The sequence below is a fragment of the Homo sapiens genome, chromosome 4, assembly GCF_000001405.40.
Source record: "Homo sapiens chromosome 4, GRCh38.p14 Primary Assembly".
NCBI lineage: Eukaryota > Metazoa > Chordata > Mammalia > Primates > Hominidae > Homo > Homo sapiens.
The window spans coordinates 119,376,596-119,389,374 of record NC_000004.12 but is presented as its reverse complement, the minus strand read 5'-3'; the positions used below and the strand labels follow the sequence as shown (position 1 = coordinate 119,389,374).

The following is a 12,779-nucleotide window of genomic DNA, read 5'->3' as shown; positions in this document are numbered from 1 at the left end:
AGTTCTTCACAAGCTATGTGATTTGACTTGAAAGTAATTTGAAGGTTTGGGTAAATTTTCTGGACAAATAGAGTGCTTTAAAGACAAATCACCTAAACAACAATTATTTGTTTATGGTAGAAAAGGAGCTATAGACATCTTACTGCATGGACTCCTTATCTCCCCACCTCATATTTGCTTAAAATGTCAACAACAATCAGATAGTTTCACTATGAGGAACAATTGTGTATTAGTCTGTTTTCATGCTGCTGATAAAGACATATGCAAGACTAGGCAATTTACAAAAGAAAGAGGTTTAATGGACTTATAGTTCCACGTGGCTGGGGAGGCCTTACAATGATGGTGGAAGGCAAGGAGGAGCAAGTCATGTCTTACATGGATGGCAGCAGGCAAAGAGAGAGAGCTTGTGCAGGGAAACTCCCATTTTTAAAACCATTAGATCTTGTGAGACTTACTCACTATCACAAGAACAGCAAAGGAAAGACCTGCCCCCATGATTCAACTACTTCCCACTGGGTCCTTCCCACCACACATGGGAATTCAAGATGAGATCTGGGTGGCGACATAGCCAAACCATATCAAATTGTTTTATAGTATTATTCTGGATTATTTTGGAAAGTTTGTTGCAACTAGTTATCAATACACCAAAGATATAGAAATAGCTTCATTATACAAGCATGGTCTTTGTAATGGCATTTGTTTAAAATATAAGGATGAAATACATAGGTAAAGCATGACAATTCCTTCAAGATAATACAAGAGGATGTATAAAATTCCTCAAGCTGTAGACATGATTTGTGTACTTTTCTATATGTGCATTAGACTTCAGTAAAATGTTTGCATATAAAAAAAAGGGAAGGGGAGTAATGAAGGTTATAATTAAAACAAAATTGTCCCTGAGTTGACAACTGTTGAAGTTGGATGATGAGTACTATTCTATTCTTGTACATGCTTGCAATTTTTCATAATGAAAGATGTTTTAAAATGTTACCTAAAACCTAAGAAACTCAAGCAAATACAAGATTCAGAAGCGTGGTATAAAAGCAGTACATCCTTTAAAGCTAGATTCAGATGCAAAATATAGTGCATTAAAAATGAAGAATCAATGCTTCTTTATAATTTTACTGAAAGTGAATAATTTTTCATGAAAAATTCTTGGCATAATTACAAAGGAGGACACTACAAACTAGGAAACAGAAGTGTTCTAATTCTGGTGGAAAATTTTTTATATTTTGTAGTATACTAGAATAAATTTAAGATTTTAAATAAGAGAAAGATTTTTAAAAATCTAATGATCTCCTAAAAACACAGTAAATGAGTTGCTTCTGATATAAGCAAAACTAAGAGTTCTAGTACATCATATGAACTATGTTTGGATATCCTGTGCATTAATCCTACTTTATTCATTCTCTCCCCAGGCACTGACCCTCCTCTCCCCATTAGCAGTCAGTAACATTTATCAAGCACTATAGAGAAAACTGGCAGCCCAGGAAAGATAAAAGGTTAAACAGTGATTGTTTCATGCAGCAAAAAATATCTAAAAATATGAAATCTTTCTTGGTTTTCCTAATAGAAGTCACTTATAACAGGTGCATTAAGTCTAGCAGTTAATGGAATCTGAATTTAGAAGTAATATTTTCTACTTAGTTGAACAGAATTGCTTGCATTGGAATACACCAATAAATTCATATTTGTCTTTGGTTTTTCATAAAATGCTTCATTCTATTCAAAAGTGCTGCATGAATAGTGTTACACACTACAGGCATTCCCCAACTTACAGAAGGGTTGTGTTCTAAAAGCTCATCTGTAAATCGGCTTCCTAGAACTCAGATCACATTTTTTCACTGAAATAATTTTCTAAAGGGCAGTTAGGCCATCAGGCCACCCAATAGAAATCAATAAGGTCTAAATTTATTGGACCTACTGTGATTTAGTGAAGCACTCTGGTTTTTGTTTTTTCAACTAACCACTTTGAACCATTATTTATTTGGTAAATGAAATAGGGATTCTAGGACTACTACTCTCCAATGCTCTGTGCAGGCAGAGACACACATATATATACACACATGCATTCTCCCTTACCCAGATCTATGGACCAAAAGCTTCCTTACTCATCAGAGTAAGCACACTGAAGCAGTTTAGACAAACGGCTCTTGCATTTGAAAGCTGGGGAAGTTACAGTTCTAGAGCCTATTAAAGGAGCAGTGAACACAGAAGCTTCCATAGGAACTATTCCTATTGAGTCTCATAGATGCAAAGCAGAGTCTTGCAGGCAGTTGGTGGATTGTAACTTCTACCAGATTTATCTCCCAGAAATATAGTTTAAAAACAAATTAGCAACTTCTGTAAGTCCTAGACAGAGTAATCAGGCAAAAGAAAGAAATAAAGGGCATCCAAATTGGAAAAGAGAAAGTCAAACTATCTCTGTTTGCTGATGATATGATCTTATACCTAGAAAGCCCTAAAGACTCCTCCAAAAGGCGCCTAGCTTTGATAAATGAATTCAGTAAAGCCTCAGGTTACAAAATCCATGTACATAAATCAGTAGCACTGCTACACACCAACAATGACCAAGCTGAGAATCAAATTAAGAACTCAATCCCTTTTATAATAGCTACAAAATAAAATAAAATAAAATACTTAGGAATATATTTAACCAAGGAGGTGAAGAACTCTACAAGGAGAACTACAAAACACTGCTTAAAGAAATCATAGATGACACAAACAAATGGAAATACATCCCATGTTCATAGATTAGAAGAATCAATACCATGAAAATTACCATACTGTCCAAAGCAATCTACAGAGTCAATGCAATTCCTATCAAAATATCATCACTCTTCACAGAATTAGAAAAAAAAAAATCCTAAAATGCATATGGAATTTTTTTTAAAAAGCCCAAATAGCCAATGTAATCCTAAGCAAAAAGAACAAATCTAGAGGCATGACATTACCTGACTTCAAATTATACTAATATAAGGGTATCATAACCAGAACAGCATGGCACTGGCATATAAGTAGATATGTAGACCTATGGAACAGAAGAGAGAACCCAGAAATAAAGTAAATATTTAGAAACGACTGATCTCCAACAAAGCATACAAAAACATAAACTGGGGAGAACAAAAGACAGCAGACAGCTTCTGCAGACTTAAACGTCCCTGTTTGACATCTCTGAAGAGAGCAGTGGTTCTCTCAGCATGGCGTTCGAGCTCCGAGAAGGGACAGACTGCCTCCTCAAGTGGGTCCCTGACCCCAGTGTAGCATGACTGGGAGACACCTCCCAGTAGGGGATGACAGACACCTCAAACAGGGTAGTGCCCCTCTGGGATGAAGCTTCCAGAGGAAGGATCAGGCAGCAATATCTGCTGTTCTGAAGCCTCTGCTGGTGATACCCAGGCAAACCGGGTCTGAAGTGGACCTCCAGCAAACCCCAACAGACCTGCAGCTGAGGGGCCTGTTAGAAGGAAAACTAACAAACAGAAAGGAATGGCATCAGCATCAACAAAAAGGACATCCACACGAAAACCCCATCTGCAGCTCCCCAACATCAAAGACAAAAGGTAGTTAAAACCACAAAGATGGGGAGAAACCAGAGCAGAAAAGCTGAAAATTCCAAAAACCAGAGCATCTCTTCTCCTTCAAAGGATCGCAGCTCCTCGGCAGCAAGGGAACAAAACTGGATGGAGAATGAGTTTGCCAAATTGACAGAAGTAGGCTTCAGAAAGCTGGTAATGACAAACTTCTCTGAGCTAAAGGAGCATGTTCTAACACATCACAAGAAAGCTAAAAACCTTGAAAAAAGGTTAGACGAATGGCTAACTAGAATAAACAGTGTAGAGAAGACCTTAAATGACCTAATGGAGCTGAAAACCACAGCAAGAGAACTTTGTGATGCATGCACAAGCGTCAATAGCCGATTTGATCAAGTGGAAGAAAGGATATCACTGACTGAAGATCAAATTAATGAAATAAAGTGAGAAGACAATTTAGAGAAAAAAGAGTGAAAAGAAATGAACAAAGCCTCCAAGAAATATGGGATTATGTGAAAAGAGCAAATATACGTTTGATTGGTGTACCGGAGAGTTATGGGGAGAATGGAACCAAGTTAGAAAACACTCTTCAGGATATTATCCAGGAGAACTTCCCTAACCTAGCAAGGCAGGCCAACATTCAAATTCAGGAAATATAGAGAACACCACAAAGACAAAGATAAACCTCAAGAAGAGCAACCCCAAGACACATAACTGTCAGATTCACCAAGGTTGAAATGAAGGAAAAAATGTTAAGGGCAGCCAGAGAGCAAGGTCAGGTTACCCACAAAGGGAAGCCCATCAGACTAACAGCAGATCTCTCAGCAGAAACCCTACAAGCCAGAAGAGAGTGGGGCCAATATTCGACATTCTTAAAAAGAAAAGGATTTTCAACCCAGAATTTCATATCCAGCCAAACTAAGCTTCATAAGTAAAGGAGAAATAAAATCCTTTACAGACAAGCAAATGCCGAGAGACTCTGTCACCACCAGGCCTGCCTTACAAGAGCTCCTGAAGGAAGCACTAAACACGGAAAGGAATAACTGGTAGCAGCCACTGCAAAAACATGCCAAATTGTAAAGACCGTCGATGCTATGAAGAAACTGCATCAATTAACAGGCAAAATAACCAGCTAACATCATAATGACAGGATCAAATTCAAACATAACAATATTAACCTTAAATGTAAATGGGCTAAATGCCCCAGTTATAAGACACAGGCTGGTAAATTGGATAAAGAGTCAAGACCCATCGGTGTGCTGTATTCACGAGACCCATCTCACATGCAAAGACACACACAGGCTCAAAATAAAGGGATGGAGGAAGATCTACCAAGCAAATGGAAAACAAAACAAAAAAAAAAGCAGGGGTTGCAATCCTAGTCTCTGACAAAACAGACTTTAAACCAAGAAAGATCAAAAGAGACAAAGAAGGCCATTACATAATGGTAAAGGGATCAATTCAACAAGAATAGCTAACTATCCTAAATATATATGCACCCAATACAGGAGCACCCAGATTCATAAAGCAAGTCCTTAGAGACCTACAAAGAGAATTAGACTCCCACACAATAATAATGGGAGACTTTAACACCCCACTGTCAATATTAGACAGATCAACGAGACAGAAGGTTAATAACAAGGATATCCAGGACTTGAACTCAGCTCTGGACCAAGCAGACCTAATAGACATCTACAGAACTCTCCACCCCAAATCAACAGAATATACATTCTTCTCAGCACCACATTGCACTTATTCTAAAATTGACCACATAAGTGGAAGTAAAGCACTCCTCAGCAAATGTAGAAGAACAGAAATCACAACAAACTGTCTCTCAGACCACAGTGCAATCAAATTAGAACTCAGGATTAAGAAATTCACTCAAAACAGCACAGCTACATCGAACTGAACAACCTGCTCCTGAATGACTACTGGGTACAAAACGAAATGAAGGCAGAAATAAAGATGTTCTTTGAAGTCATTGAGAATGAAGACAGAATGTACCAGAATCTCTGGGACACATTTAAAGCAGTGTGTAGCGGGAAATTTACAGCGCTAAATGCCCACAAGAGAAAGCAGAAAAGATCTAAAATCGACACCCTAACATCACAATTAAAAGAACCAGAGAAGCAAGAGCAAACACATTCAAAAGCTAGCAGAAGACAAGAAATAACTAAGATCAGAGCAGAACTGAAGGAGATAGAGACACAAATAACCCTTCAAAAAAATCAATGAATCCAGGAGGTGGTTTTTTGAAAAGATCAACAAAATTGATAGACTGCTAGCAAGACTAATAAAGAAGAAAAGAGAATCAAATAGATGCAATAAAAAAATGATAAAGGGGAGATCACCACCAATCCCACAGCAATACAAACTACCATGAGAGAATACTATAAATTCCTCTATGCAAATAAACTAGAAAATCTAGAAGAAATGGATAAATTCCTGGACACATACACCCTCCCAAGACTAAACCAGGAAGAAGCTGAATCTCTGAATAGACCAGTAACAGGTTCTGAAATTGAGGCAATCATTAATAGCCTACTAACAAAAAAAAGTCCAGGACCAGACGGATTCACAGCCAAATTCTAACAGAGGTACAAAGAGGAGCTGGTACCATTCCTTCTGAAACTATTCCAAACAATAGAAAAAGAGGGAATCCTCCCTAACTCATTTATGAGGCCAGCATCATACTGATACCAAAGGCCTGGCAGAGACACAACAAAAAAAGAGAATTTTAGACCAATATCCCTGATGAACATCGATGCAAAAATCCTCAATAAAATACTGACAAACCAAATCCAGCAGCACATCAAAAAGCTTATCCACCATGATCAAGTCAGCTTCATCCCTGGGATGCAAGGCTGGTTCAATGCACGCAAATATATAAACGTAATCCATCACATAAACAGAACCAATGACAAAAACCACGTGATTATCCCAATAGATGCAGAAAAGGCCTTTGACAAAATTCAACAGCCCTTCATGCTAAAAACTCTCAATAAACTAGGTATTGATGGAACGTATCTCAAAATACTAAGAGCTATTTATGACAAACCCACAGCCAATATCATACTGAATGGGCAAAAACTGGAAGCGTTCCCTTTGAAAACCAGCACAGGACAAGGATGCCCTCTCTCACCACTCCTATTCAACATAGTGTTGGAAGTTCTGGCTAGGGCAATCAGGCAAGAGATAGAAATAAGGCGTATTCAGTTAGGAAGAGAGGAAGTCAAATTATCTCTGTTTGCAGATAACGTGATTGTATATTTAGAAACCCCATTGTCTCAGCCCAAAATATCCTTAAGCTGATAAGCAACTTCAGCAAAGTCTCAGGATACAAAATCAATGTGCAAAAATCACAAGCATTCCTTTACACCAATAATAGACAGAGAGCCAAATCGTGAGTGATCTCCCATTCACAATTACTACAAAGAGAATAAAATACCTAGGAATACAACTTACAAGGGATATGAAGGACCTCTTCAAGGAGAACTACAAACCACTGCTCAAAAAAATAAAAGAGGACACAAACAAATGGAAGAACATTCCATGCTCATGGATAGGAAGAATCAATATCTTGAAAATGGCCATACTGCCCAAGGTAATTTATAGATTCAATGCTATCCCCATCAGGCTACCACTGACTTTCTTCACAGAATTGGAAAAAACTACTTTAAATTTCATATGGAAACAAAAAAGAGCCCACATAGCCAAGACAATCCTAAGCAAAAAGAACAAAGCTGGAGGCATCACGCTACCTGACTTCAAACTATACTACAAGGCTACAGTAACCAAAACAGCATGGTACTGGTACCAAAACAGAGATATAGACCAATGGAACAGAACAGAGGCCTCAGAAATAACACCACACCTCTACAACCATCTGATCTTTGACAAACTTGACAAAAACAAGCAATGGGGAAAGGATTCCCTATTTAATAAATGGTGCTGGGAAAACTGGCTAGCCATATGCAGAAAGCTGAAACTGGATCCCTTCCTTACACTGTATAAAAAATTAACTCAAGATGAGTTAAAGACTTAAATGTTAGACCTAAAACCATAAAAACCCCAGAAGAAAACCTAGGCAATACCATTCAGGACATAGGCATGGGCAAATACATCATGACTAAAACACCAAAAGCAATGGCAACAAAAGCCAAAATTGACAAATGGGATCTAATTAAACTAAAGCGCTTCTGCACAGCAAAAGAAACTATCATCAGAGTGAAGAGGCAACTTACAGAATGGGAGAAAATTTTTGCAACCTACCCATATGACAAAGGGCTAATATCCAGAATCTACAAAGAACTTAAACAAATTTACAAGAAAAAAACAAACAACCCCATCAAAAAGTGGACAAAGGATATAAACAGACACTTCTCAAAAGAAGACATTTATGCAGCCAACAGACATATAAAAAATGCTCATCATCACTGGTCATCAGAGAAATGCAAATCAAAACCACAATGAGATACCATCTCAGGCCAGTTAGAATGGCGATCATTAAAAAGTCAGAAAACAACAGGTGCTGGAGAGGATGTGGAGAAATAGGAATGCTTTTACACTGTTGGTGGGAATGTAAATTAGTTCAACCATTGTGGAAGACAGTGTGGCAATTCCTCAAGGATCTAGAACTACAAATGCCATTTGACCCAGCAATCCCATTACTGGGTATATACCCAAAGCATTATATATCATGCTACTATAAAGACACATGCACACACGTTTATTGTGGCACTATTCACAATAGCAAAGACTTGGAACCTCCCAATGTCCATCAATGATAGACTAGATTAAGAAAATGTGGCACATATACACCATGGAATACTATGTAACCATTAAAAAAGGATGAGTTCATGTCCTTTGCAGGGACACGGATGAAGCTGGAAACCATCACGTTGTGCACGTGTACACATTTTATATATGGTGAGAGATCCCTATCTCTCACCATATATAAAAATTAACCCAAGATGGATTAAAGACTTAAATCTAAGACCTGAAACCATCAAAATTCTAGAAGAAAACTTAGGAAAAACTTCTGGGCATTGGCCAAAACAAAAAATTTATGACAAAGACCCCAAATGCAAATGTGACAAACGCAAAAATAAATAAATGGGACCTAATTAAACAAAAAAAAACTTCCACAAGACCAAAGAAATAATCACCAGAGTAAACACACAACCTATAGAATGGGAGGAAATATTTGCAAACTATGCCTCTGACAAAGGACTAATATCCAGAATCTAAAAGGAACTCAAACAAGTCAGCAAGAAAAAATCAAATAATCCCATTAAACAGTGGGCAAATGACATGAACAGATATTTCTTAAAAAGAAGATATACAAATGGTCAACAAACATGAAAGAAATGCTGAACACCACTAATCATCAGGAAAATGCAAATTAAAACCTCAGCGAGATACCACCTTGCCCTAACCAGAATAGCTATTATTAAAAGTGAAAAAACAATAGATGTTGGTGTGGATGTGGTGAAACGGGAACGCTTATATGCTGTTGGTGGGAATGTAAATTCGTACAACCTCTATGGAAAACAGTCTGGAGATTCCTCAAAGAAATTAAAATCCAATCCAGCAATTTCACTACCGAGTATCTACCTAAAGGAAAAGAAATCACTAAATCAAAAAGACACCCAGATATGTATGTTTATCACAGTACAATTCACAATTGCAAAGATATAGAATCAACCTAAGTGCCCATCAGCCAATGAGTGGATAAAGAAAATGTTATATATATATATATATACACACACACACACACACACACACACACACACATACACATATATACACGCATACATATACGTATGTAGACATATATGTATATGCATGTGTGTACATATATACATGTGTATATACGTACGTGTGTGTGTGTGTATGTATATATATATATATGATGGAATACTACTCTACCATAAAAAAAGAAAGAAATAATGTCTTTTGCAGCAACTTGGATGAAACTGGAGGCCATTATTCTAAGTTAAGTAACTAAGGAATGGAAAACCAAATACTACATGTTCACACTTATAAGTGGGAGCTAAGCTATCAGTATGCAAAGGCAGACAGAGTGGTATAATGGACATGGGAGACTCAGAAGTGGGGAGGTTGAGAGGATGGTGATGGATGAAAAACTACCGATTAGAGTACAATGTCTACTACTCAAGTGACGGGTACATTAAAATCCCAGACCTCGTGACTATACAAGTCATCCATGTAACCAAAAACCACTTGTACTCCTAAAGCTATTAGAATAAAAAAAAGGATGTAATCATTCAATGAAAGCATAAAGAAACTAAAAAAAGAAAAGTATGTTTATTGCGGCATTATTCACAATAGCAAAGACTTGGAACCAACCCAAATGTCCAACAATGATAGACTGGATTAAGAAAATGTGGCACATATACACCATGGAATACTATGAAGCCATAAAAAATGATGAGTTCATGTCCTTTGTAAGGACATGGATGAAATTGGAAATCATCATTCTCAGTAAACTATCGCAAGAACAAAAAACCAAACACCGCATATTCTCACTCATAGGTGGGAATTGAACAATGAGATCACATGGACACAGGAAGGGGAATATCACACTCTGGGGACTGTGGTGGGGTGGGGGGAGGGGGGAGGGATAGCATTGGGAGATATACCTAATGCTAGATGACGAGTTAGTGGGTGCAGCGCACCAGCATGGCACATGTATACATATGTAACTAACCTGCATGTTGTGCACATGTACCCTAAAACATAAAGTATAATTTAAAAATAAATAAATAAATAAAAATAAAAGAAATTTCCTAATAATCACTTTCAATATATATTTTTAATTGTTTATAAACTCAAATAAAATATAGATTACATTTGTGAACTATGTGTGTGCATTCAAAGCTATAACAATCTCCCCTCCCCAACTGCAGAGATGAGGGGCCTGAAGGGCCTGAACAGCAGCTAAAGCAAGGGCTCCTTGAAAACAGCAACAGGCCCTCCCTCTGCCACAGGGAGATGCCAGCAGTAGCAGTAGGCCATGGAACCAGCATGCAAGGAGTGGGCTGCTTCTATTGGTGGTCTACTTTTCTACTCCACCAAACATATCTATATTTCACTGCTTTGAAGATTTTTTTAAGCCACAAAATTGTTTTCATAGATGCAAAAAAAAAAAAGAATAAAAAATCAGAGCTAAAATAACTTCACATGCATACAGTTTCTCATATGCCTATTCATTTAACAATTTGAAAGAAAAATACATACAGCTACTCTTCTTGAACCCTGGAGGCGGAGGTTACAATGAGCCAAGATTGCACCACCACACCACGACCTGGGTGACAGGGCAAGACTCCGTCTCAAAAAAAAAAAAAACCTAGCTATTCCTAGCTATTCTATTATTCAGGCCCAATCCCAATGTATAGTTGCTTGCTTTTTAAGTTCAGAATTTTATGAGTATGCTTCAGTTATGCAGTGTGACCATTATAAGATTTTAAATGTATGTTTTTAAAGCCCAGATCCAGAAATATGACATGACTTTCCAGAGACCACTGTAGAATCATATCAAAAACCAAGCAGTTTCCTCCCAAATTCAGCTGAGGTCTACTCCACTTGCCTGCATAGGTGTTGGCCTTGTTCAGAAGGTCGGTACATGCATGCATATCAGCAAAAGCCCGGATTCCTAAGCAGTTGACAGGGTGAAGCTGGGATTCCAAAAATTCACAAGTCTTCTTCACATCCTGTAACTGTAAGAGACCAGCTGCTGGGAGAAGTACCTGCAACACACACATCAATATTCTTAGGCACTTGGGTGGAAAAACACTGTCTCTTTGACCACTTCTACATAGGACACAAGATGTTCAGCCATAGTTTATTATCTGCGTCCATACCCCCATATTCCCTAGAAAACAAATATAAAAATTATTTTCAATAACAATGATGACTCTTCACATTCCCCATAATTTCCATGTAATCTTTCAAAGGCCTCTTCTCCTTCGTCAGAAGAATATGAGATATCAGATCTTACAAGATTCATGGTTTGTTTTATAAGCATAAACAAAATGTTCCTTTGACTTCTAAAAACACAAATTCTTGGCTGGGCCTGGTGACTCACACCTGTAATCCCAGCACTTTGGGAGGCCAATACAGGAGGATTGCTTGAGTTCAGAAGTTTGAGACCAGGCTGGGCAACAGCAAGACCTCATCTCTACAAAAAATATAAAAATTAGCCTGGTGTGGTGGCACGCAACTGTAGTGCCAGCTACTCAGGAGGCTGAAGTGGGAGGATCACTTGAGCCTGAGAGGTCGAGGCTGCAGTAATCTGTGATCACCCCACAGCACTCCATCCTGGGTGACAGAGTGAGATCCCATCTCAAAAACAAAACAAAACAAAACAAAACAAAACAACAACAACAACAACAACAAAAACCCATAAATTATTAGGATGCTAGGGGGTGCTATGATTCAATGAAAATGGTTTTGTTCTCTTAGTTCAAGCAGTCATGCGCTTCAGTGATTTGTGGAGAAGGAGTGGCCCCAGAGCAATCCATATCACAAGAAGCCTCATTTTGCTGAAGGCCTGTTTTTCTACTGTATAAGTATCATAACAACTGCTTTCCTTACGGGGTAGAACAATTTAAAGTTCAACAACAGTCTCTACCTATAAGCAGACAGTTTCTCTAGAATGTAATATATGTGCTAACAAGGAAAATGTAATAGGTGATTATCTAATAACTTTTTAATTTTCATTTTTATTTGAGTAACTCCAAGCAATTTTATATTAATTATAGGTTATTCTGTGGGATTGAACCACTATCTTCACTATAAATACTATATCCAACACTACAAGTGCTTTTCAAATAAGTCAATAATAGAAAAACATTTTTCCTTGTAAGTGAATTATTACAGTGCTATATAAAGGACCATATTTGAAAGTCAAATTAAGGAGAAAAACTTCAAAAAAAGGTTATCGAATTCTGGTGATCCTTTATAAAAGCCAAAGAAACCCCACAAAAAAAACCTTCAATTACTCGAACAATGGTAAATTTTAGAAAAGACATTAGCATTAAAAAAAGATCTAAGTTCCTTCAGAAATTGACTTTCATATATGCCACACTGCAGCCCAAAGACAGAAAAATAATAGTGGTTTATGACTATATGTTATGACTTTCCTAAATCTATGGAGTAAGTCCTAAACATAAAAAAGAAAGACATCATTCACATCTCTCTGTAACAAACTTCTTACCTTCT

At 37.5% G+C, this 12,779-nt stretch overlaps 1 pseudogene; it reads right to left on the bottom strand.

Annotated features, from left to right (window-relative positions):
- The window catches only part of KLHL2P1 (kelch like family member 2 pseudogene 1), a 43,921-nt pseudogene continuing 42,283 nt past the window's right edge, over nucleotides 11,142-12,779 (bottom strand).